Below are 27,748 nucleotides of genomic sequence, written 5' to 3'. Positions count from 1 at the left end.
CCATACCATAGGCACCTTTCCATGTTTGTATGAGGTACTGTACTAGTCAGTGGGAGAGGATCAGAACTGACCCTTCCACTTCAACAGCAAGCTGTGGGGGATGGACACACAGGTTAGAGAATGTTACGGGAGTTTTCCAAGAAAATGAGAAAGATGCAGAATGGAAACATGATGGAGCTGATGAGGAAGAAAGGAAGTAACACCATTATTTCCAAAGACTAATAAAGATACTGAGATTCAATAAGATATATATCTTACTATTTTATATATACATATTTATATTTTATATAATATTATATATAGATAGAAAGAGAGAACTGAAGTTACAGAACAAGTAACTTGAAGGTGAGAGGAAGAGGTAAATGTGAAGAATAGAAGCTGATCTTGTAGAAGCAGGAGTTGCCCCAGAAAGCCAGGCTAGGAATACGCTCATACGAAAAAGAACTCAGAGACTTTTAAGGCAGCAACATTAAGGAAACCTTAATGCAGTTCACTCACTTGTTCATTCATTCATTCATTACACTAATTCATTCATTCAATATTTATTGAGAGCCTACTATTTGCCAGGCAATTCTAGGTGCTTAGAATACAACAACAAAACAAACAAAAAATTCCTTCTCAGAGAGAAGAGCAAGTGCAAAGGCACAGGGGCCAGGTGTGTCTGAGAGCAGGGAGGAGGACCGTGCTGAGCAAGGGAGAAGAGCAGGGAGGGACAATGGCCTCGAGGGTTACAGACTGGGAGCACTGCCTGCTGCTGAATGGACTTGGGCTTTTATTCTGAATGAGATAAGAGACCACAGAGGATTCTGGGAAGCAGAGTGACACAACATGATTAGGTTTTAATAGGATCACTCTGCCTGCAGCACCTAGAAAACAAACATGTTTACAATGTAGCTGGGCATGGTGGCTTATGCTGGTAATCCCCCCACTTTGGAAGACCAAAGCGGGAGGATCACTTGAGCCCAGGAGTTAAAGACCAACCTAGGCAACATGGCAAGACCCCATCTCTACAATTTTTTTTTAATAGCTGGGTGTAGTGGCATGCCCCCTGTAGTCCCAGCTACTCAGGAGGCTGAGGTTGGAGGATCGCTTGAGCCAGGGAGGCAGAGGTTGCAGTGAGCCATGATTGTGCACTACACTCCAGCCTGGGCGACAGAGCATGACCCTGTCTCAAAAACACAAAACACAAACAACAACAAAAAACGACACAAAGGAAGAATCCAGTGGAGAAGGGCAGGTGGGTGGGGAAAGGTTATGGATGAAACTACAAGACAAGGATATAGGATTCTCACTAGTTCTGCTGGTACAGGGAGCTGTGGATGGGGACTCTGATAAGCTAAATGCACAAAACTGGGAGGGCACGATGCAGAGTTTAATAAATGCTTATGATCTACATTGCCACTACTGCTGTTTTCTGGAACATAACTTTCTCTACAAAGATCTTCATTGTACTGTATGTGGTTGGATCAGTTTGTACCATTACTGCTTACCATTGAGGAATGATATAATCTAATTAATAGACCTGAGAACTGGGTTAAATTTAGCAAAGATATTAGAGAATTATCTCATGCTCACTTCAGATACTGTCTGTCTTCCCTTCCAGGCACATATCTTTGTTGTTAGTTTTTTCATTTTGATACCTGGAAAGGGGTTCAGAGAATATTTTGTCAAATCTCACTTAACTGGTAATTGTTCTTGTGAATGTTAATTACTGCCTACCTTATATTTGCATTTGTATTTTATCTCTAAATATGTGATCCTGTACTTGTGTATTTAAAAAATACTTAATATTCTTCATTGTTCCTTTGAGTTAGACATTTATAGATGTTCTATGCTTGCTTCAATAGGAAGGGAGGGGTTTTGAATTATGCAACTCCTTTAAAAATAAATACAGTAGCCAGGTGCAGTAGCACACGCCTGTAATCCCAGCTACTCAGGAGACTGAGGTGAAAGGACCACTTGAGCCCAGGAGTTTGAGGCTGCAGTGAGTTATGAACACATCAGTGCACCCAGCCTGGGCAACAGAATGAGACTTGTCTCTAAAAACTAAAAAAAAAAAAAAAATTAAAAAGAACATAGCAGAATTTAACACATCCAAGAATATTCTGTTTCCTTGCTAGTTCCTCCTTGGGAGGGTTACACATCTACTCGAATTACAGGGCCACTGTACAAAACTTCTTACGGAGTTTTGTTCCTTTGATCTCCAGAATAGCAACATTGGCAATTGGCAATGTTTTGTTTTCACATTTGAGGAAGGCCTTTTTTTTTTTTTTTTTTTTTTAAAGAAATAGGCAAAAGGGATTTGCAGGAAATCTGATGATAAAAATATGTGGCTCAATGGATCATGCTATATTTGGTCAAAAAGAAGAGTAACTGGAGAAAAATCTGAAAAATTTTCTACAGTGGCTTATAAACTATTTCTGGAATATTATGTCTACACTGTCAATACTAATTTCTTGGGAAAATGCAGCACATATATGAAGAAGAACATATTTCTTTTTTTTTCCCCTTTTTCTTTTGTAGGCAGGATCTCCCTCTTGTCATTTAGACTGTAGTGGTGGGGCATGATCAAAGCTCACTGCAGCCTCGATATCCTGGGCTCAAGTGATCTTCCCACCTCAGTCTCCCAAGTAGCTGGGACTATAGGTGCACACCACCCCGCCCAGATAATTTTTGTATTTTTAGTAGAGACAGGGTTTCACCATGTTGCCCAGGTTGGTCTCAAACTCTTGGCTCAAGCCATCTGCCTGCCTCAGCCTTTCAAAGTGCTGGGATTACAGGGGTGAACCACCCCACCAGGCCACACTTTAGTATCTTTTTACTTATGTGAATCACACCTAAATGAAACAAAGTACTCTCGGGGAGAAAAAATGTATGCTTCCAGCAACTCCCACAGCTACAGAATTAATAACATTTATAACAAAAGCAGCACATGTTCAAGGCAAGCATATCTGTCCACAGCAGTGCTGCCTCCTCCTCCCATCACCTAAGTGACAGGATTTTCTTCATCACGACACCCTCTATCTAAGGAGAGATGTGTACTCTCCCTGACTCCGATGAGATAAACATGAAATAAACGGGAAACTGAAGAATGCCGCACTGACAGAAGAAGCCAGTGTGTCCAGTAGACAGTTTTGGGTTTTTTTAAATTTTTTACCTTGACTCATCCTCTGCAGGTTGGGGAAGGAACAGTTTGGAAGAGCTTTCCACAAGTACAACACTTCAATAGACGCCAACACACAGAGCGCTTTGGTTGGGGTTTGCTTCCGAAATCGCTCTGCCTGCAAGGAGTCAGAATAAACAGGCTACATTTTTCAAAAACAAATTCAAATAAAAAATATACCTCAGACACTTTAAAAGCACACAGTTCATCATCAATGTGAATGACCCTCTCCTTCAAAGCTAAGAATAACAATTCTTCTCTCTATAAAAAATGTTGCTTTCAATTTTTGACAGACTGGAAATTATGCCTTTCATTCATTATTCAACTGAACCTACTATCAAAATGCAGGGTGGGGCCAGGCATGGTGGCTCACGCCTGTAATCCCAGCACTTTGGGAGGCCAAGGCAGGCAGATCACCTGAGGTCAGGAGTTTGAGACCAGCCTGACCAGCATGGAGAAACCCCGTCTCTACTAAAAATACAAAATTAGCCGGGTATGGTGGCACATGCCTGTAATCCCAGCTACTCGGGAGGCTGAGGCAGAAGAATTGCTTGAACCTGGGAGGCGGAGGTTGCGGTGAGCCAAGATTACGCCATTGCACTCCAGCCTGAGCAATGAGAGCAAAACTCCGTCTCAAAAACAAAAACAAAAAAAGACGCAGTGTATATTCTGAAAACTTGGGGATGAAACTAGATTTACATGCATTTAGAGTGACAGAATTTATAAAGCTTGGTGACAGCTAATAATTCAACGGGCTTACACACACCTAAGGAACTAAGACTAGATGCCTTTTAGTCACAGTTCTCTTGATTTTAAAATTTTCTACTGAGTGCCAGTGCTCTCTGCTGTACATTATAATCAAATTTATACTCAAAAGCTTCATTAAATGTTCATTCAATAAAAACATATAAAACTAAAATAACTGATAATTCAGGATATAAGACACTACATAACTCAAGGTAATACGGCAACATTGTATTCACAGAAGTACAGAATACATAGGAATACTGTCTCTACAGTCTTGGGCCTTTCTGCTGGCAACTGTGACACTGTGACACACACATTTGCTTTTTATTACATCAAAATGTGATGTGTTCTCTATTCTCAACCCCAGACAGCCTGCATTTCTCACTAGGTCCTGCCAATTTGTATTCTTCCAAAACCACCCAATTCTTTAGACAGATCCTTTCTCTCTAGAGGTGTGTTCATTAGCTCTGCAGAACGTATAGTCTCCATTCATTAAAATTTAAAAAAAAACTATACTCCAGTTACCCTTCAGATCATATATATCTTTCACCTTTTGCTAAAGATTTCCATGAAGGGGAACCACTCTGAGTCTTAACCCAATTTTTTGAGGCCCTGTATCTGCAGGACTCATCGATTTTTTAAAAATCTGCTTTCATTATTTGCAGCAAGGCAAGAATCTTCTATTCAGAGCAGATGTACAATCATGGAGAGAATCCTCTGCATGGCGGTGAACTGCACTTTATGTGGCAAGTAAATAGGCAGCCTTGAATATAATTTCCTAAAGCTTGCCAAGGCAGTGTTGGTTACAAATGCCCATCATAAGTAATACACCAGATCAATAGGCTCCAACATACCTTTTTCACCGAGAACTGTTCAATCTGATTGTTTTTCCTTTTGAAGAGTTTCTGAACTTCTTTAAAGACAATCTGTGCCCCATCCACATCACCAGTGGCTCCCTGACAAACTGTAAGAAACCATAATTATATTTCTTAAGTACAAGTCAGGGAAAATGCCATAAGGGATACCTGAAGTGATGATACTTGAAAAAAAAAAAAGCAGGAGCAAATATGTTTAAAGACTATTCCACAATGGGCTGGACATGGTGGTTCATGTCAGTAATCCCAGCACTTTGGAAGGCAGAGGCGAGTGGATCACCTGAGGTCAGGAATTCGAGACCAGCCTGGCCAACATGGCGAAACCCCATCTCTGCTAAAAACACAAAAATAAGCCAGGCGTGGTGGCACATGCCTGTAATCCCAGCTACTTGCGAGGCTAAGGCAGGAGAATCGCTTGAACTTAGGAGGCAGAGGTTGCAATGAGCCGAGATCGCACCACTGCACTCCAGCCTGGGCGACAGAATGAGACTCTGTCTCAGAAAAACAAACAAACAAACAAACAAACAAACAAACAAAAAAAAGACTGTTCCACAAAGGACTGCACCGTCCTGCAGTCCTTCAACTATTTCCCAGGTTCCTGTGTTCCCAGAGCTTTTGGGGGACCTGGGGAAAGCCATGGTCCTTGTCCTCTTGTTGGGGAGACAGTTTTTCACATAACAAAATCCTTAGCTACTGTCACAGTGTACAACCTAGTTAGGGCTCACATACTCAAAGTGGAATAAATAGGAACCCAGGAAAGAACAATGAAGAGCCCCGAGGATCATGAAAGCTTCGTGGTAGAAGGAGGAGTTCTCTGTCCTAGGAAGTCATCAATCTGTCCTGTCCAAGTTCCTTGGCTGCCTACTACCTATAAGCCACCAGCAACAATGTGAAGAAGAAACACATGTGCTTGAATCCTAAAGAAACTGAAATTACAATTGAAAAGATCACACATGCTCACACACGCACATAGGGTCCCACAAGCTGCAATGTATGTAGTGATAGGAGTAGTCAGGGTAGGAGAACCAAAGTGGTTTTCAGAAGGCTCAGAAAGAGAAGGGATCATTTCTCTCTGGAGTGACCAGACGCTGTAAGGAGCTAGGAGAAGTCGAGCGGAGTCTTGAGGAATGAGTGAGATTTTGATCATGATCATGTGCACACCTTCTTCTCACCTCAGGCCCCAAAGATTTAATGATCCTCCCTTTGCTGTGTCTTCTCTGTCCCTTATGCAAACTTTGCACTGGCTGCAGCCCCACTACTGCTTGAAACTTTACCACAACTCCATCCTTTCCTCCCAACTCTGATGCTGCGGAATCCATTTCTATTCAATTTTGTTAGATCACATGTGGTTTTTCACTCCCCAGTTGGAATGCACTAAAGTTGACTTGCTAGTTCCCTCTTCTTTTTTTTTTTTTTTTTTTTGAGATGGAGTCTTGCTCTGTCACCAGGCAGGAGTGCAGTGGCGTGATCTCGGCTCACTGCAACCTCCGCCTCCTGGGTTCAAGCAATTCTCCTGCCTCAGCCTCCTGAGTAGCTGGGACTACAGGCACATGCCACCATGCCCAGCTAATTTTTGTGTTTTTAATAGAGATGGGGTTTCACCATATTGGCCTCTTGTACTCGTGATATGCCTGCCTCAGCCTCCCAAAGTGCTGGGATTACAGGTGTGAGCCACTGTGCCTGGCTAGTTCCCCCTTCGTTACCTGAGCACCCCTAAAAGTAGGTTGGTCCCGTACTCGCATTTGGGCATGGTCAAGCAGTCACCTATCCCAGGCGTGCACGTACCAGGATAGGCTACCATCGGCAGAGCCCAAGGGTCCAAGAATTGAGGCTCGGAGAGAGCTGAGGATGCAAAGACAATGGGAAAGACGGCAGGTTCCTCCTACTGGGATTAAGAGTGATGAGGCTGAATATTCAAAGGAAGGGACAACTCCTTTCCCAGTCACTGGGGCATCTCTGGTCCAGATGGAGGAGTGTGCACCAATCCAAAATGACCTTATCAATTGCAGCTGTAACATTTCCAAACCAGAATGAAGCTCAGTGGCTGTATTGTGCAACCAACCCCATTATTTTTAGATCAGAGGATGCAAAGGTCTGGAAAAGCTGAGCATTGCCTAAGGTCACAGAGTAAATCAATGAAAAAGAATATATTTCTGCTGTCCCTAGCTTGAGGTCTTCCTCAGATCATTGAGAACATTCTTATACAATCACATAATTAAAGCCAGTCATAAACAGCAACGGTATCTGAACCACCCCAAAGGTCTATAACATCCATACCTCAGACCCTGAAGAACGAACACCACCTATTTCTCTTGCAGTAAAATTATAGATAGATTTTTTTTTTTGACAGAGTTTTGCTCTTGTTGCCCAGGCCGGAGTGCAATGGCGCGATCTTGGCTCACTGCAACTTCTGCCTCCTGGGTTCAAGCAATTCTTCTGCCTCAGTCTCCCGAGTAGCTGGGATTACAGGCATGCACCACCACACCCAGCTAATTTTTTATTTTTAGTAGAGATGGAGTTTCTCCATGTTGGTTGTTGGTCGGGCTGGTCTCGAACTCCCGACCTCAGGTGATCCACACGCCTCGGCCTCCCAAAGTACTGGGATTACAGGGGTGAGCCACCGCCCCCAGCCAGATAGTTGCTTTAAAAGATGCAGATGTTTAAAGTCATGGGAGTCTCTGGTTTATCCTAAAATATGAGGCCTAAACAGAGCTTAGGATGACTGACTCTTCCAATAAGACTAAATATACACAATCCCATATGTTATATTCTAATATTTTTTGGTAACTTATAATTTTGATATAATTTCAAACTTACAGAAAAGTTGCAGGAATAGTAGAGGTATATGATCATGCAAATCTACTTCTAGGTATCTACCCAAAGGTACTGAAAGCAAGGACTGGAACAGATGTCTGTATACCAATGTTCCAGGTAAGCACTCCACACAATAGCAAAAAGATTGGAAACAACCGAAATGTCCATCAATGAATGAATGGATGAACAATGTGCCATATACATGCAATGGAATATTATTCAGCCTGAAAAAAGGAAGGAGATCCTGACACATGTTACAACATGGATGAACCTTGAAGACATTATGCTAAATGAAATAAGCCAGACACAAAAGGACAAATATATTTCACTTATACACAAGGTAGGTAGAATACTTAAATTCATAGAGACAGGAAGTAGAAGCGTGGTAACCAGGGTCTCGGGGAAAACGTGAATGGGGAGTTTCTGTTTAATGGGTAGAGTTTGGGATGATGAAGAAGTTCCAGAGATGGATGCTGGTGATGTTTGCAAAACAATCTGAGCGTTATCTGGAGTTACTGACACATACACCTAAAAAAGTTCAAATGGTAAATGATGCTACATATTTTATCACAATTTTTAAAAGTACAAAACTATTGACATAGTCACACAAAACATTAACATGCTGGGGAGCTAAGCCCTGGTGGCAGTGTTTGGGGTCCCTGAATGCCCATGCCCTCTAGCTCACGGCCAGCCCAAATGGCAGCTCCTGCAGGACAGTGTAACGGTGCTCCTTCCCTGCCTCATGTACTCTTTTGTTTTTGAGACAGAGTCTCACTCTGTTGCCAGGCTGGAGTGCAGTGGAGCGATCTCAGCTCACTGCAACCTCTGCCTCCTGGGTTCAAGTGATTCACCTGCCTCAGCCTCCCAAGCAGCTGGGACTACAGGTGTGCGCCACCACGCCTGGCTTATTTTTGTATTTTTAGTAGAGATGGGGTTTCACCATGTTGACCAGGATGGTCTTGATCTCTTGACCTCGTGATCTGCCTGCCTTGGCCTTGCCTCATGTACTCTTTGTACTGGAGCTATTCACCCACATCTTATCCTCTCTACAAAATCCCAATGCAGGAACAGAGATCAGAATCTTTCATGCTTATCCTCTGCTATGATTGGTATGGTTCTGGGATTGCCAAATATTGGGGGGGGGGAATTAATGTTCCTCTATACAGCCACGCTGTACATTTATGTATTTGAAACTCAACAAAGATGAAAAAATAAATAGCTGTCCACCATCGACTGTGCGGCCCAATTACACCTAATGGCTGCGGAGTTGTGTGCAGGCCTCTCTTTTCTGGGCTATTCAATCTGGATTCATCCACTCTTCAACGTATTAAACACACTGAGTCACTCAACAAATAGCTGCTACTTTCATCTGAGATGTCTTCAAATTCTATACAACAATCCTTTAAGTGTGAGACACAGCATATTATCCAGTATATGAAAAATAAGCTTATTCAAACATCAGGGACAGAGCCATGAGAACACGCCTGTCAACAGGGATTGCAATGCGGAATATGGACAAAAGAGGGCTTTGCACTGACTTTTGGGGTCCATTTGCTAATGGACCGATGCAATTTTATAGGGAATTTAAGAGATCCAGAATATCCTTATTGGTCAATGTTCATCAACCCTATCTTATTTTATATAGATCAGTTAAGAGGGCAGAATGGAAGTGGAAGATGGTCATTAAATCTGAACGTTAAGAATAAGAAGGTATTGAAAATAATGTTTGGATTAGTCTTGAATTTTAAGTAAAAGAACCACTCATGTGGCTGCAAGAGGAGAGTTCATTACACAAACCAGAAAAGGCTTACATGAAGTTGCTTAGAGGCAGAAAAGGTACAACCGCTTGGCTTTCTTCAATTCCACACCTCTACAACTCTGAATCACGTGGCCTTTTAGGTATTGAAGGATGCAGACAACTACTTTGGCCACCAGGTGGCAGCACATCTCTATCTCCTCATACATGGGCAAAAAAACACTTAATTCAAAACAGAATACAGGTGTTAATAACGATATGCAATGTAAATACCTTGCATCTAAAATATTATACTGTAAATATAATAGAGTTATGAGGTAAAACAAGGTTGGAGCAGATGACTCAGACCTATGCAACTTTGTAACCAGGGCACGAACCAAACAAAAATACTAGCACAGATCAGGCTCTGAGGCTCATGCCTATAATCCCAGTGCTTTGGGAGGCTGAGGCAGGAGGATCACTTGAGGCCAGGAGTTAGAGATTAGCCTGGGCACCATAGCAAGACCTTGTTGCTACAAATTTTTTTTAAAAAATTGGCTGGGCGTGGTAGGGCATGCCTGTAGTCCCAGCTACTCTGGAGGCTGAGGCAGGAGGATCGCTTGAGCCTGGGAGGTTGAGGCTATAGTGAGCTGTGATCAGGCCACTGCACTTCAACCTGGCAAAAAGAGCAAGACCCAGACTCAAAAAAAAAAAAAAAATTAACACACTGAAAAAAGACTGTTCAATTCTTAAAAATTCTTCAGAATCCCAATAAAAAACATAGCATATTAAGTAAAGGGATAGAGACAGGTTGAGGCAACTTAGGGCAAAATATACAGTAACGGGGAAGACCTCATAATATGCATTTCCAAGACACAAAACAGGACCAAGCCAGGCCCAGAGGGGAAGCGTGTGGTGAAGGGGCACCCTGGGCACTACTGAATTTCTGGGTGTTCACCTGGGTCAGTGAACACAGTATTCTAGCACTATTTACTTGGTTGCACAAAACATTAACATGCTGGGGAAGGCTGTGGAGGGGTACAACTTTTGCTTCCTCTTGCCATCATTCTCCCATCTGCCCACGTCAGGCGAGCTAATTCACGACAGAGAGAGGCACACTGAGGGACCATGGGCGACTCACCTGCAGTCAAGTAGGCATAATAGCACTGGGACCACCTGGACTCATTTTTTAGCCTCTCAAAGGAATCAAATGCATCCTTGAAATTGAGCTCTATCATGCTGCACCAACCTATGAAAGAAATATTTTTAGCACATGACCCTAAAGTACTGAGCTCTATGACCCATATTTAAGCCACGAGCCTCTGATATGGCGATCATTCTCTGTGCATGTTCTATGAAATGCGTAAAAAAGTTTAACCTGAAAACCTAAGAAATTATTTTTTCCCTTAAATACTTTCAATGTAAAGTTTGAATTTGACAAGGCACTTAGGTTTGAGTCAGACAACCAATAAAACAGCACAGAAGAGAATGGCATAAAGATTTCTAGAAAGACACTCCAATTTACGTCCTAACAGTCGTGAGGCTAACCCAAGCACAGCAGTACTTCTCCAAGAGTACACACAGGTGCAATAAGAAACAGTGGAAGCAACACCACTCGATTATGTACTCAGTGACTACCACTCATTCTTTTTTTTTTTTTTTCTTTTTTTTTGAGAAGGAGTCTTGCTCTGTCACCCAGGTTGGAGTGCAATGGCACGATCTCGGCTCACTGCAACCTCTGCTCCCTGGGTTCAAGCAATTCTCCCGCCTCAGCCTCCCAAGTAGCTGGGATTACAGGCACCCACCACCATGCCCAGCTGATTTTTGTATTTTTAGTAGAGATGGGGTTTCGCCATGTTGGCTAGGCTGGTCTTGAACTCCTGACCTCAAGTGATCTGCCCACCTCAGCCTCCCAAAGTGCTGGGATTACAGGTGTGAGCCACCGTGCTTGGCCCACTCATTCTCAAAACTTTATAAGATCTAGACAGCAAGCCAATGAGAAATTAGGCATTTCCCTACCTTCCCTCAGCACACTGGTAGTGAAAGAACCCCACCTTCCTGGATCGAAACAGTTAAATGGGCATTCTAGTAAGGAACTGCAGCAACTAAAATGTAAAGGATTTTATTCCCACTTTTCATCACAGTAGCCCCCATCACCTGAGCCTCTAATGTGTGCCAATGCTGTGGTAAGCACTTCATGTAACGCTCTCTAATCCTTATGACAACCTTGCAAAGGGGGCTAATAGTGTCCTTGTATTAGCAAGGACTAATCCTATGCCTGTAATCCTAGCACTCTGGGAGGCTGAGGTGGGAGGATCGCTTGAGCCCAAGAGATCCAGACCAGCTTAGGCAACACGGTGAAACCCCATCTCTATAAAAAATTAGCCAGGTGTGGTGGTGCACGCCTGTAATTCCAGCTACTTGGGAGACTGGGGTGGGAGGATCACCTGAGCCGGGGAGGTCTGGGCTGCAGTGAGCTGAGACTGCACCACTGCACTCCAGCCTGGATGACACAGTGAGACCCTGTCTTAAAAAAAAAAAAAAAAAAAAAAAACTAAGGTATCAAGAGGTAGCTACCTGCTGAAGCCATACAACTAAGAAGGAATAACTGTGGATCAAAATCCAACACACTTTCCTTTACATGATACTGCCTCCATAAAAAATATTCTGTTATCAGGTGCATCACTAAGTAATTGTGTAAACTGAGACTTGCCATTTAAACCGTGGGAGGAAGAGTGTGTGAGATATACACTTCAGAAAATTCACTGTCAAATTCTATGGGATGTGATATTGACATAGTTTAGAGTAAAAATTTGGGCTTTTTTTGGAAACACACTCTCACTCTGTCACCCAGGCTGGAGTGCAGTGGTGGGATCTCAGGTCACTGCAACCTCTGCCTCCTGAGTTCAAGCCACTCTCCCGCCCGCCTCAGCCTGCTGAGTAGCTGAGATTATAGGCGCCCACTACCACGCCTGGCTAATTTTTGTATTTTTGGTAAAGACGGGGTTTCACCATGCTGACCTGGCTGGTCTCGAAGTCCTGGCTTTAGGCGATCTGCCCCTCTCAGCCTCCCAAAGGACTAGGATTACAGGCGTGGGCCACCGTGCCCGGCCTGGGCTGATTATTTTTATCCTAGCATAGATAGCGGAGAAAGATTGGAATTAAATACAAAATAGAGATGGAAGGAAGCACTGACTCAGGAATAAGTCAGGAATAATTCAGGAATAAATAAGGAATAACTCAGAAATAAGTCAGGAATAACTCAGGAATAAGTCAGGAATAACTCAGGAAAAAGTACCAACTCAAGCTTCCGAGCCTGAATCGGAAGCCCGAGTTACTACCAACTCCTGAGTTAACCTTCCTAAGGCCTGGGTTGGGTGATTTCTAAGCTTCCTTCTGCTCTAACATCCTATCCTGTCATAGGACTTGAAATGATGCACCAACAAAAGGCCACCAAAGCTAGAGTTTTTCATTCAAGTTCTTTGAAGCACATTTCATTCTATATTGTGGCTACTAAGCAGAGCTCCAGCAGAGTGTAGAAGACACAAAAACACATTTTCCACTGGATTATACATCATTTCCTCTTTTTAAACCACAACAGGCATTTAAAACGTAATATTGTTTATTGGGCAGTTCGCAATCTTTTGGTTTTCAGTTTTCCTTAAAAGGATTCAGGAAGACAATTGTGTCCACAGCAGGCAAAGCAAGTGGCAGGCAGCACAGGGCCTGACCCCCCAAACTGACAGGTGTCAACTGCTTCCCTGAGCATTCTGTCTCCACTTCCCTGTCCCTCTGCAGAAAGCTTTTTAAGTCTCAATTTCCCTTTGGAGTCTCATCACTATCTCATCATTTCTCCTTTCTCTTTGCCTCTGTCATTCCTTTTTATGTGCTACATGGTGTGACCTTGTAGCATTAGCTACGCTGAAACTCTGAAAAGTCTGAGTCCCTTATTTAAAATTTTTTTTTGTTTCAAGTTCAAAGTTGTGTTTACTCTTCCCAGCACAATGGAGAAACTGTTACACAGAAAGATTTTGCAATTACTAATGTAATAGGATCAGAGTTTTAGTGCAGTCAGCAAAGACCCATAGCAACAATTCTGGAGGAGAATGGGGAAAATCTCGGGCAGATAAATCCTTCCAGGTTTGTTGGTGACTGTCTCTCCAGTAAGGGAGAAGCAGAAGGTGGCAGCTAACATGTATGGAGGGCCTTCCGTGCCAGGCCCCCTGCATGAGGTTTCACACGTCATGTCATCTAAACCTCACAGCTGCTACAAGGGGAGGCACCTTAACTCCAATGGCAACTATGTGGCTAGGAAGGTTTGGGCAACTTGTCCAAGGTCTCAGAGCTAGTTGGTGAAAAACACTGGGACTTCAGTCCAACTATCTCCTGTCTCCTATTTTTCTTCTCAAGTAAACATTAGTGGGAAGGAGGAACAAAGAGCTTTGAATTCTAATGCAGTCCAATAAGGTATTTCTGGTCATTTAATCAATTCATTTAACATCACCTATTATCCTAAAAAATCAAAATGCTGTAAAGAAAAAATGTTATAAAAACGTAATGAGAATCAGAGAGAAGTATCATTGCATGTGCTACGGGAATAACTGAAGTCCTTCTTACTACAGAAGGCACCAAGCATTTTGTAGACACACACTGAATGGCATGAAAGCTAAAATACTGCATTAATACTACTTCTTAACAAGAGGCTGGACAGACATTTCATATTTACCAATTTCATACAGACAGACATGTTGAATTTCTCTCTGGTCTACTGCAAGTTCCAAAGCAGTGTGGAAAGATGTCAAGGCACTGTTGATTTGACACTAAGGAGAAAAGGAAAACAGAATTACCAGCTAAGATCTGTCGATAACATTACAATCATCATAATTCAAAAGCATCTTTTTCCTTCATAGTTATTTTAAACAGGTTAAGCAATATAGAAGACAGTGGTTTAAAGATTGCTAGGAAAATACTCCAATTTGCCCCCAAACAGCTGTGAAATTAACCTAAGCACAGAGAACCTCTCCTTGCTCAGGTGGTAAGGGCTCAGCTCGCGCCGCCTTCTCCTCCAGCGTTCTCTCCTTTGCTCAGGTGTTAAGGGCTCAGCTCACACCCACCTTCTCCTTCACTCAGGTGGTAAGGGCTCAGCTCGCGCCGCCTTCTCCTCCAGCGTTCTCTCACACTTGTACAGTAGGACGTGTTGGATTTTAATTGTTTGCTAATCTAGCCCCTTGTTACCACACAGGTGTGGAAAGGGAAGGGACCATATTTCATCCCCGTGTGCGCCCAGCCCTGGCCCAGAAGTCTCTCAATCGCTACTGAGTGAATGCACGAAGCCGCTCCATTAGCCCAGTTCTCAGTGAGCTCTTCACCATACAGTTGATAGTTTGCTTCTATACCCTAGAATGCTGTTCTCCAATTGCTTCTGCTCATCAAATCTCCTCTCCCGACACTTCAGAAATTCCCTGAGGATCCAGATTACATTTCCAACACTTTCATTCACATAACACTGTCTGGGACCCAGCAAACTCTCAAATGTCCGCTCTACTTACTCCCAGTGAAATACATTTCGTTTTCCCGCCGCTGAAGATGTCACTCAGGGTCTGCCAACACGATGCCACAAGTACCCAAGAGGAGCAGCTCAAAAGCATGATCAGGATTCAAAGCATCAGTTTAATCTTAGGCATTGAGAAATGCTAAATGTCACATACCATTAATAAATAAATCTTAAACAGCCAGACGACCTGACAGCTTATTCTGAACGGTGCATGCATTTCTTTCTTGCTCTGCTGGTGCCAGGGCTCCTCTCACTGCCCTACACTTGCAGGGAGGTGGACTTCCCTCCCCTGGGCTTCCAGGTGCGTCTCCTGCTGCTTTCTCTATGCTTCCTCCCCCTCCAATGCTCCCAAGTGCCCATTATCCCCACAGCCAGCCAGGTGGGCTGGAAGGGTCCTGGAGGAGAAGCTGCAGGCTTCTCAGAGGACGGGTCCCCCACCCGCAGACCTGGGCTCCTCTCCTCAGCACGTCACTGCAGGAGGCCTCGGGGAAACAAGGGCACCAATGAGTCAGCAGGTGATCTTCAGGACAGCCTGTGACTCGGGAACACTGTAAGCCAAATGACTCATTAACCAAGGCCCAGCTGGATCAATAACTGTTCATGCCCCAAAGTAACACTCTCCTCTGTTGTCAGGAAGGTTGAAACTGCAGCATTCAATCCATTATCACCGTTTATGAATGCTGACCAGGTAGCCACAGAAGACACGCACCAATCGCATCCCTGATTCCTGTTCTCAGTAACTTAACGTCCAGTTGGAGGAAACCTCACAACAATGGGAATCGCCCACAGCTCAGAAGGCAGACATTGACACTGACTGTTAGCACACAGCTCAAACACAAAACACCAAGGTTAAAAAAAAAAAATCAATCCTTTATGGCGCAGGAATGTGTGCATGAGCGCAGGTGGAGGTATCTAGACACGTCACACCCTATGTCTAATTTTTCCCTTTTGGGATCAACAGTTCTTTTCTTGAATCAGATATGCACTCCATTTAGCATATTTATACAGAAATCACAGCATTAGGGGTTCAGCTTTGCAAACATCTCTCTCACTTTGCTAAATTAATGACATAGTTCTCACATACAGAATGTTTCTAGATGGGCCATCACCACCGAGCTGTTCCCCCCCGTGTCCCCCATGGTACATGACAGTGCAATAGCACGCTGTCCTTCAGAGGACAGAAAATTAATCAGGAAACATTTACTGGGCAACCGCTATGTGCCAGGGACAGGCTCTGGAGATAAAAAGATGAGTCCAAATAAAGCTTTGAATCTAAGGAAAGGAAAAAGAAATCCAGGTAGTATTTCAATCAAATCATTTCTCTTAACCCTTTCAAACTCTCTGAGGTAGGTATGTATTAATTCCATTTGCGGATGAAGAAAGTAAAGTTCAAAGAAGTTAAGGAGCTTGGTCAAGGTCAACAAGGTAACAATTGACTAATAGTCAAAATTCTGCCCAACTGCCTCTAAAAAGTGTGCTTTCTTCGGGGAGTGTGTATGCAGATGTGATTAAGTCAAGGATCCTGAGATGAGACAGATTATCCTGGATTAGCCAGGTTGGCCCTAAATACAATCACATGTATCCTTCAAAGTGACACACATAGGAGAGAAGAGGACACTGTCAACCATGGAGGCAGAGCCTGGAGTGATGCTGCCACAAGTCAAGGAAGGCCAGCAGCCACCAGAGGCTGGAAGAGGCAAGGAAGGGTTCTCCCCACAGCCTCCAGAGGGCTTGAAAGCACTGAGACCAGGTTATGGAGCTCAATGGCATTATGCCGAGAGCAAGTAGAACTACAGAATTCATTCTAGTTCTATCCTGATCATTGAGTGAGGAATTATGATGAACAGCCATTAACACAGTTGAAATAAATTTTCCCATATTTTTCACCAAAAAAAATATATATATATATATATTTTTAAAGATAGGGTCTTGCTCTGTCTCCCATGCTGGAGTGCAATGGCGCATTCGTAGCTCACTGCTGCCTCAATCTCCCAGGCTCAAGAGATACTCCCATCTCAACCTCCTAAGTAGCTGGGATTATGGGCATGCACTGCTGTGTCTGGCTAAGTTTTTTTTTAATTAATATTTTGTAGACAGGGGTCTCACTACACTGCCCATGCTGGTCCCAAACTCCTGGGCTCAGGTGATCCTTCCACCTCGGCTTCCCAAAGTCCCGGGATTATAAGCATAAGCCACCATGCCCAGTCTCACCAAAAAAATTTAAAAGAAAAAATGATCTTTTTTTTTTTTTTTAGACAGAGTCTCGCTCTGTCACCCAGGCTGGAGTCAGTGGCGTGATCTTGGCTCAATGCAACCTCTGCCTCCTGGGTTCAAGCGATTCTCCTGCCTCAGCCTCCTAAGTAGCTGGGACTACAGGCATGTGCCACTGCGCCTGGCTAATTTTTATATTTTTAGTACAGATGAGGTTTCACCATATTGACCAGGCTGGTCTCGAACTCCTGACCTCGTGAGCCACCCACCTCAGCCTCACAAAGTGCTGGGATTACAGGTGTGAGCCACTGTGCCCAGCCCATGATGGATATCTTAATTTGTCATCATAAAAACTCTCACAGAGGCCGGGCGCAGTGGCTCATGAGGTCAGGAGATCGACACCAGCCTGGCTAACACGGTGAAACCCCGTCTCTACTAAAAATACAAAAAATTAGCTGGGCGTGGTGGCACATGTCTGTAGTCCCAGCTACTCAGGAGGCTGAGGCAGGAGAATCACTTGAACCCGAGAGGTGGAGGTTGCAGTGAGCCAAGATCGTGCCACTGCACTCTAGCCTGGGTGACAGAGTGAGACTCCATCTCAAAAAAAAAAAAAAGTCTTTCTCTGGTCCACCATGGAGGCATTAAAATAAAAAAGCCACTAGGCCAGGACTGACTTAGTGCCATCTAGGCTTTTGTCTCATTAACTATACCTGGACACACTGTGTCACAAAAACCAAGCCTCAGTTTCTTCACTAGTAAAATGAGAAACAATATTGGCTAGCTTTATCTGCTTCCAGCAAAAGCCATGAAGAACACAAAGCGCAAACCTTTGCCAAATTAAGTAGGGCATGTTTATTGACAAATTCACACCAGCATAATCGGCAGCCATGGCATTGTTATGAAAGATGGAGCATATTTTTCCAGTTATTCCAGCCTGCCCTCTTGTAGGTATATTCCTAGGTATTTTTTAGTTCTTCTAGCAACTGTAAGAGGTTGCTCCATTTTATTCTCTAAGTGAGTGTTGCCGGTATGTGGGAAAACTCTGGATTTTGGCAAGTTGATTTTGTGTATGTCACAATATCATCCTCTTAGGAGTTCTCTCTCATATATATATATTTAATTTCCTTGGATTTTCCATGGAGGCATTAAAATAATTTGCAAGTGACAGTACTGTCTCTTCTTTTACAACAAATTTGTTTGTTAATTGGCTAGGAGCACCAGTTAAAATACTTATAACAGCACACTGCATTGCTGTCTTTAATGAGGCCACCATTAAATATGGTTTCACCATTAAACAGGGCTTGCTACAAGTAGATGCCGTTTTTTACTAAATAAGAAATGTCCTTCCCATGTATAGCTTACTAACAGTTTTCTTTTTAATCTGGATTGAGTAGTACATTTTATTAAATACCATTGACAGGACTGTATGGTTTTATCAATGATTTCCTTAATGCAGGGAATAACAGGAACATATTACCTGAGGCTGAACTGTGGCTGCCTTTTTGGAATAAGTCCTACTAGGTCATAATATAGCATTTTAAAATTATAATGTTGGATTTAATTTGCTAATATTTATTTAAAATTTCGTGGTTTTTTTTGAGACAGAGTCTTACTCTGTTGTGCAGGCTTGAGTGCAGTGGCGTGATCTCGGCTCGGCTCACTGCAATCTCTGCCTCCCGGGTTCAAGTGATTTTCATGCCTCAGCCTCCCGATTAGCTGGGATTACAGGTGTGCACCACCAGACCCTGCTAATTTTTTGGATTTTTACTAGAGACAGGGTTTCACCATGTTGGCCAGGCTGGTCTCGAGCTCCCGACCTCAAGTGATCCGCCTCCCTCAGCCTCCCAAAGTGCTGGGATTACAGACATGAGCCACTGCATCCAGCTTATTTAGAATTTCTATATTGGGAATGCATGATCAATCATTTTTCATTTAGTGCTTTACTCTGGTTATCAGGATAATGCCAGACTTGCAGAACCAGCTGCAAATATTTTCATATTTCCTGTGCTCTGAACTATATAAATAACTAGTTCACTTTTTAAAGCCATGCGTTTCAACTGAATAATTAAATGTTTAAATCGCCATAATTTAAATTTTTTTCTTAATGGCCACACAGTGTAACAAAGAATATTAGACTTTAGACAATACTACCCAATTCTAGGCCAACTTTATAATCAACACAAGTTTGAACCTAGGAAATAATTTGCTTTGTTTATATTCTCAGGGGATGTTGAATTTTTTTTTAATGTTTAAGTTTAATTATTGTTATTATTATTATTTGAAACAGGGTCTTGCTCTGTCACCCAGGCTGGAATGCCTTGAACTTCTGGGCTCAAGCAATCCTCCCACCTCAGCCTCCTGAGTAGTTGGGACTATAGGTGCACACCACCAATCTGGCTAATTTTTTAACTTTTTTTTTTTTTTTTTTTTTTGTAGAGACGGGAGTCTTGCTATGTTTCTCAGGCTGTTCTCAAACTCCTGGCCTCAGGCAGTCCTCCTGTGTTGGCCTCCCAAAGTACGGGGATTACAGGCATGAGCCACAGCACCCAGCTGGGATGTTGAAATAAATTTCATTTAAGTATAATACTCTTAGGAAAGGTACCTTGTCTTTAAAAATAAGTGTCACCTGTTAATAGTGGTGGGAAATAATCCACAATATTGTTTTCCAACATTCTGAACATATACTCACAGTAAATGGCAATTAAGTTTCCTACCAATTGTTTCAGACTCACCAGGAGAAATTCCAGATTTTATCTAACAGGCATAATTAAGATCTGTTTAAGATTCTATCATAAATACACAAGAATGTACTCTTGCCTAATATCCAAACAAACTCATGCGTGTTCTGTGGCAAGAGAAGGGACAAAAAGAAATAAACCATGTACTATAAAGGGATGGAGCAACTAACTACAGGTGACATTTTCCACACAATTAAAAAATTCAAGCTATTCTTGATATTTCCATACTAATGTACTTTTAAAGCCCTATATAAAGATCTCAACATATAAATATGAAGATACAAAAAAGTCTGAATGATTGTCGCAGTCAACACATGAAGCCTGGGGTCTACTAATATTCCTTATTGTTCTATTGAAAAATGCTCACCAGCAATACCTAACTGAGAGGACTTGCTGAACTCAGCTACCCAGCAAAAGTTTCCATGTCTAGAGTTGCGAAAAGAGTAGAAATGGAAACAAGGCCGAGTTCTTTTGGGGATTTGGCCCAGACTATATTGCCAAAGGGATGTCAAGTTCCAGCCCTCCCCGAATCTGTAACATAAGATTCTGCTTCCCAAGTGAGCAGTTTCCTTTTGTGCCACCTCCAAATCATATTTAACATTAAGTGACAAAAAGCTCACATGCACAAAGGTTTCAGTTCAGAGCCCTGTCTGCTGGCGTGAAAATAATGTTGGTGTCACTTCAATCTGTTGGGTTAAACATCGGACAAGAGGTGACTGCTGCAGGGACAAATCACAGAACACAATAGTCCCTTGTTCCCTAATTCTATAGCTTTGATGTGCATTTGCCTTTGAGAATGTTCAAATCTGTTAGATAACTAAGTTCGCAGTTTGTAAAACATAAGCACATTCTATTTTAAGATGTTTTAAGCAACTAGTAAGTAAAAAGCCTGTTAGAGTCTGAGCAACATGGTGAAACCCCATCTCTACAAAAACACAAAAAATTAGGTGGGCTTGGTGGCACATGCCTGTACCCCCCCCCCTACTTGGGAGGCTGTGGTGGGAGGATTGCTTGAGCCGGGAGGTCGAGGCTGCAATGAGCTGTGATTTTGTACCACTGCACTCCCGCCTGGGTGGCAGAGGGAGACCCTGTCTCAAAAACAAAAGTTTGTTAGTGTATTAGTCTATTTTCATACTGCTTATAAATAAATATCTGAGACTGGATAATTTATCGAAAAAGAGAAGTTTAATGGACTCACAGTTCCACATGGCTGGGGAGGCCTTGCAATCATGGCAGAAGGCGAAGGAGGAGCAAAGGAACATCTTAACACGGTGGCAGGCAAGAGAAGTGCAGAGCAAAGGAGGGGAGAAGCCCCTTATAAAACCATCAGATCTCGTGAGAACTCACTCACTATCACGAGAACAGGATGAGGGAAACTGCCCCCGTGATTCAATTATCTCCACCTGGCCCCTCCCATGACACATGGGGACTATGGGAACCAAAATTCAAGAGGAAATTTGGGTGGGGACACAGCCAGAACATATCAGTTAGAATAGGCAAAATTCATGAGCTGTATTTAGAATAAAAGCAGCACTCAGAAAGTAGAGTGCACATGCGTGCGTGTGTGTGTGTGTGTGTGTGTGTTAGAGAAGGATGAAAGGCCTAAGAGATATCTAATATTCATGAGGTATTTGGGAGCTAACTAGACATGAGATTAAACATACAAACAACACTAAATATACATGAGTACTTAATATTCATGAGGTCTTAATTTGACCATCCACTGGTGACACCCATTCAGGCACCAGGTATCCTCTGCCCAGTAAAACACCAATAAAACCCAGCAAAAGATTCCACGTCTAGAGTTGCGAAAAGAATAGAAACGGAAACAAGGCCGAGTTCTTTTGGGGATTTGGCCCAGACTATATTGCCAGGTATCCTCTGCCTGTCGGGCACGGTGGCTCACACCTGTAATCCCAGCACTTTGGGACGCCAAGGCAGGCTGATCACTTGAGGTCAGGAGTTTGAGACCAGCCTGGCCAACATGGTGAAACCCCGTCTCTACTAAAAATACAAAAATTAGCCAGGCATGGTGGCATGCACCTGTAATGACAGCTTCTTAGGAGGCTGAGGCAGGAGACTTGCTTGAACCCAGGAGGTGGAGGTTGCAGTGAGCCAAGATAGTGCCACTGCACTGGGTGACAGAGCCAGACTCCGTCTCAAAACACAACAAAACAAAACAACCCATGGCTGTCCATCAGTCTGCTGCACTATGGCCAGGTGTACTCATCCCCTCATCCCCATGGGTCTCTGATAAATTATGTGCCCCAGCCCAGGATACCCTCCACCTGCAGGCCCCCTCTCTCCAACACAACGCCAGTCCTCCTAACCACGTCAGTGAGGAAGAGGGATGTGCAGAGGAAGGGAGGACACTGCACATCACACACCCCAGCACCCAGGTCGCACAGTCCTCCCACCCACCCCGCCTGCAGCCTCCCCTGAGAGTGCTAACTGATTCTTTCTCTTTCCACTGAGCGATTTACATCAATTCACTAAACTCTGTGATTCCAGCCCATTTTAATTTGGTGTGAGAATCTTTGTTCTGAGACCTCTGGAAGAACGTGTAGGTGGTGCACTTGGAGGCAGCTAGGGCACCAATGGCATCTGCATAAAAAGGGAGAGAAACGCCCAGTTGCCTGTGGGGAGACACTAATTGGCACTGGATGTCAACCATTATGGATTGAATTGTGTCCCTCCAAATTCATGTTAAAGTCCTAACCCCTACATCAGAATGTGACCTTATTTGGAAATAAGGGTTGTTGAAGATGTGATGAGCTAGGTTTAGACCAGGTCACACTGGAGTAGGGTGGGTCCTGACTCCCTCATAAAGAGGGAGAATGCAGATGCGGAGGCCAGCTCAAAGAGAGAACACCATGCGGAGGCGGAGACAGAGATGGGGGTGACACTTCCATAGGCCAAGACATGGCAAAGCTTGCCAGCAAGCCGCAGAAGCCAGGAGAGAGGAATGGAACAGGCTCTCCCTCACGGCCCTCAGAGGAACCAATTCTGCTGACTCTAATTTTGGACATCTAGCCCAGAGCTGGGGGACAATACATTTTTGTTGTTTAAGTCCCCAGTTTGTGATACTTTGTTATGGCAGCCGTGGGAAACGAAGACACCAACGGTCAGGGGTGTCCCTTCTTTGGGGATCCATTCACCTCTGTCCACCATCACCCATGTGGTGGCATGGAAGTGTCTTTCTCTGGTGTAAGGGCAAGGGTGAGCACCTGACTCAAGTGAGGCAAGTCACAGTGCTCCCCACACCCCACTCAGAAGCCACCACTGGAGTTCTCACAGGTGACGAAGGTGGGCCAGTGTGGTGCCTGCCTGCAAGTGTGTGTGTGCATGTATGTGTATGTGCAGGCATGTGTGTGTGTGTGCACATATGTATTTCATATATGCATGCCTATATAATACATTTATTTCCCTCTTAGGTTGGCAAATTATAACAGTAATTTGTATAAATACCCGATGATCAGCCATAAAGATTTTATCAACTATCCATATGTACCAACAGTTTGTAAAGGGTCAATTTCCCTGTATCTTTTATTCACACTGAATGTTTTCAGTATTAGCCAATCATTCTTCCATGTTGTTTTAATTTGCATTTCCTGGATTTTTGCAAGGTTCACATGTTATTGGCCATGTGTATATCTTATTTCCTGACTTCCCAGCTTAGGTGTTTTGGCATTTTTCTTTTTCTGTGCTTTTATTTATTTATCCTTCCATTATGTCCTAATTTTGAAAGAACTCTTTCTATACTAAAGATGCTAACATTTAGTAGGTTAACATCCAGGGTTTTTTTTTTCTTTTTTTGAACTTTGCTTATGATATTTTTACAATACAGAAGTTTATTTTTATGTAAATTCTATCAATCTTTTGATCAATTTTATCAATCTTTTTCTTAATATGTTTTGGTTTTAGAGTTACGTTTAGAAAGTCCTTGATGGGGGAGATGGAGCTTTTAATACTACTGGGGATGTGGAATTCATAAATTTTGCATAATTAGGGAACTGTTTCCACATGCCATAAATATGGCTGCTCCCATTCTGACAAAAGTCCAGGAGCTACATCACAGCACAACTGAGAGGAAAAGAACAAGAGACTGTACTTTGTATTCATTCATCACACACACACACATGCACAGTCACACACACACACACACACACACACACACACACAAACACCCTGCTCCCTAAGCGCTGGGCACTGGTCTAGGCATTTGAGATAAAGCAGTGGCCCAAACGAAGTCTCTGTCCTCGTGGAGCTTAAGTTCTCATTCTAATGGGGAGGGGCAGACAATAAACAAATAAGGAAACCCCTTCACGTAGAGTGTCCTGAGAGAAGTCTCTGGGCAGGGATGAGGTGGGTGGTCTCCCTGGGAGGTGACTCTGAACAAACTCAAGGAAGTGAGGAACTGGTGAAAGCAGATATCAAAGGTAAAAATGTCCTAGGCAGGGCCCAGAAAGCACAAAGGCCCCGAGGCAGCCCTGTGCCCTGTGCATTTAAGGAAGGAAGGAGGCCAGTGGGGCAGGGGTGGAGTGGGGATGGCCATAGCTGGTGGGCAAGGAGACTGCAGAGGCAACAGGAGGTCAGTTCATGCAAGCCCTGATGACCATTATAAGAATTTGGGATTTGGGGCTAGGTGCGGTAGCTCATGCCTATAAACCCAGCACTTTGGGAGGCCAAGGTGGGTGGATCACTTGAGGTCAGGAGCTCAAGACCAGCCCAGCCAACATGGTGAAACCCAGTCTCTACTAAAAATACAAAAATTAGCCGGGCGTGGTGGCAAGTGCCTGTAATCCCAGCTACTCAAGAGGTTGAGGTAGGAGAATTGCTTGAACCCAGAAGGTGGAGGTTGCAATGAGCCGAGATGGCACCACTGCACTCCAGCCTGGGTGACAGAACAAGACTCCGTCTCAAACAAAAAAAAAAAAAACAGAGAGAGAATGTGGGATTTCGCACTGAATGGGAAGAGGAGTTATTTATGGGTTTTGTACAGAGACATGACATAATGTAACCTAAATTTTACTAACGAAGTTACTTTGACAGATATGTTAGAGCAGACTGCAGGGCAAGAAGAGCAAAAGCAGGGAGTCAGGATGATGTGACCATCCAGGAGAAAAACAGTGTTGGCTGGGACTGGGGCAGGAGGAGGGGTGGGTGGGAAGGGCAGAAAGAAGTGGCCTCTGAAATTCCTAATTCATTAATAAAACTCCATATAGTATAAGAAAGTGACTCTCCAATGTGAACAACATCACATGTGAAAGAGATACATATAGCAGATAAAAGCTGACGCTGACCTTGAAATATATGCCCTATAAGAGACAAGGTAGGGGAGTTCAGTGAGTTCCCAAGAACCAGACCACACGTGTGCTGTTTGTTACTGCTGGCTATGCAGACCAATTGCAGATTAGTGAATTACACACAGATTTTCAAACCACAAGGATGTTCTGCACATCTCCATTTGTCCTTTCAGGATCTGTATAAATTTCTGACATAAGACCACCTCCAGTGCCTACTGTGAATGACTATTTAGAAGACACAGATCTCCAACTGATAATTATAGTCAATAATACTCAGGTATTGAGCAAATGTAAATAGTATATATTTCTGGAATGCAAGACGTTTATCTGTACCTTGACATACTTTTGTACTTCGCCACATTCTCAAATGAATATGACTTAGACAGAATGAGGCAGTTGGAAATTAACATTCTGATGTGGAGCAAGGAGAGGCTAAATAAAGAGCCCTTTTTTCTTTTTTTTCCAGACACGGTCTCACTCTGTTGCCCAGGTTGGAATGCAGTGGCGTGATCACGGCTCACTGCAACCTCCGCCTCCTAGGCTCCAGGGATCCTCCCACCTCAGCCTCCCAAATAGGTGGGACTATGTGCACACCACACCTGGCTAATTTTTGTATTTTTTGTAGAGACAGGGTTTCGCCATGTTGTCCAGGCTGGTCTCAAACTCCTGGGTTCAAGCAGTCCTCCCACCTTGGCCTCCCAAAGTGGGAGTGTACAGGCGTGAGCCAGCACACCGGCCTAGGTAAAGAGCGTTTAAGCAAAGCTGCTTTAATAAGCTTATCCCGGTCTCATCATCATCATCAGAGGGGCCAACATGTGGGGTGCTCTTAACCCTGTGCCTGGTAAGATGGCAAACCTTCCTCGTGGGCCAGGTGTACAATCTCCAGGCCTCACTGAAGGCCACATAGCCTTTGAGGTGGAGCCCAAAACGGGAACCTGCTCAGTCTGACTCCAGAGCCAGCAATGTGGACCTCCCCGCCCCACAGCCTCCTCATCCTAAAGACGGTCCCCACCTCTCCAGTCGTCTCCACCCACAGCAACCACCCATTCACTTGGCGCTTTCTTTTTCTTGCTTTTTTGTGTATGCACACTGCTTTCTTCATAACCGAATTCCATGTTTCTTGTGGGCAGGGAAGTTTCATCCTCAGAAGACCTTTCACATCATAGCCAATAAATACTTGATTATGTACACATAATGGATAGAGTAGTTATGTTTTCAGCATCTCCACGTGAATGAATAGCAATCACCTTGAAAAGTGAGTTATGCAACTGAATCCACCACTAATGGTAGAGGAAATGAATAATGCACCAATTACAAAACTTCCTTGGTCTCTCAACAGTCATGGCAGGATTCTGACATTTGTGACGGAAAGTGCTTCGTAGTGGGATTTACAATTCAGACACGATTCTGTCTAGATAGGAAAAGAGCACTTGATAAACTAACCCTGTGCTTAGTGCTTTACCCTTCCCAGGCTGCATTACTGAAGGCTGACGTCTTCTCCTAGTGGGAGGTACTGCCTTCTTTTTTACAGATGAGGGTACAGGCTCAGAAAGCTGGGCTGGGCCAGTAAGTTGAAGACCCCATTTTGAGATGAGCCTAGTGCTCTCTCCACTACACCAAAATGCCTTTTAAAATGATGGGGAAAATGTATGTGAAACACAGCAGTAAGTTTAAAAGAAATGTGCTTATGTTAAGATGTTATCAAAGAATTAAAAATAACAGCGAAGAAGATAACACAAAGAATTAACTCAGAAAAACAAAAATCATAGAAATACAGAATACACTAGTCTACAAACAGCCATACAACTCCAATGAAGACAGCATTTCAAGACAAACAGATAAACCTAGAAAGCCGAGAAGACCTAATATGTGTCAAGACTGGCATAAGAGAAACAAACCAAAGTTATAATCAGCAAAGTGACACTGAATGTTTGCTAGACCTGAATGACACTCTCTGTAAAAGGTGTTCAACGGGCAAGCTGCTATGTGGATGTTTTTTTTTTTTTTGAGACGGAGTCTCGCTCTGTCGCCAGGCTGGAGTGCAGTGGCACAATATCGACTCACTGCGACCTCCACCTCCTGGGTTCAAGCGATTCTCCTGCCTCAGCTTTCTGAGTTTTAGTAGAGACGGGGTTTCCCTGTGTTGGCCAGGATGGTCTCGATCTCTTGACCTGGTGATAACGCCCGCCTTGGCCTCCCAAAGTGCTGGGATTACAGGCGTGAGCCACAGTGCCCAGCCAGTTTTTTTTTTTTTTTTTTATGAAAAATTAAAGCCAAGTTGTAAAAAGCAGAAATAATCCCAGGTAGTTAGTTTTGAAGATTTTATTACCAGCTTTATTGAGATCTAATTCACAAACCAGAAAATTCATCCTTTTCAAGTATAAAATTAAGTGGTTTTTAGTATATTCACAGAATCATAACATTTGAAAGTTGGAAGAGATCTCACAAATTATCTAGCCTACTGCTTCCCAAAGTATGTTCTACCGAACGCTTCCAGTCTCACAGGCTACAGTATAAATAGGAATTTTCCTGGTCAAATAAGCTGGTTAAACATAGCATACCTGCATATTCTTATCTTCCCCTTGGAGAATCACAGTGCAAAACT

At 43.4% G+C, this 27,748-nt stretch overlaps 1 protein-coding gene and 1 pseudogene across 7 annotated transcripts in view; one reads left to right on the top strand and one right to left on the bottom strand.

Annotated features, from left to right (window-relative positions):
* The window catches only part of TTC39C (tetratricopeptide repeat domain 39C), a 142,714-nt gene that overhangs the window by 6,893 nt on the left and 108,073 nt on the right, over window positions 1-27,748 (bottom strand). For 5 of the 7 annotated variants that reach the window (NM_153211.4, XM_047437297.1, XM_047437298.1 and 2 more), the window contains 4 exons: window positions 14,061-14,154; window positions 10,476-10,583; window positions 4,765-4,874; window positions 3,158-3,281 (listed from right to left, as the gene is read on the bottom strand). In NM_153211.4, coding sequence (NP_694943.2) covers window positions 3,158-3,281; window positions 4,765-4,874; window positions 10,476-10,583; window positions 14,061-14,154 — 436 coding nt within the window. Of the gene's footprint in view, window positions 1-3,157; window positions 3,282-4,764; window positions 4,875-10,475; window positions 10,584-14,060; window positions 14,155-15,042; window positions 15,382-27,748 lie in introns of those variants that run through there. The other 2 variants (NM_001292030.2, XM_011525814.4) reach the window with 2 other exon arrangements.
* Window positions 4,423-4,538, top strand: RNU5A-6P (RNA, U5A small nuclear 6, pseudogene; annotated as a pseudogene).

Source organism: Homo sapiens, chromosome 18 (genome assembly GCF_000001405.40).
Source record: "Homo sapiens chromosome 18, GRCh38.p14 Primary Assembly".
NCBI classification, from domain to species: domain Eukaryota; kingdom Metazoa; phylum Chordata; class Mammalia; order Primates; family Hominidae; genus Homo; species Homo sapiens.
Note: the sequence above shows the minus strand (reverse complement) of the source record. Positions and strands in the feature narration are given on the sequence as shown.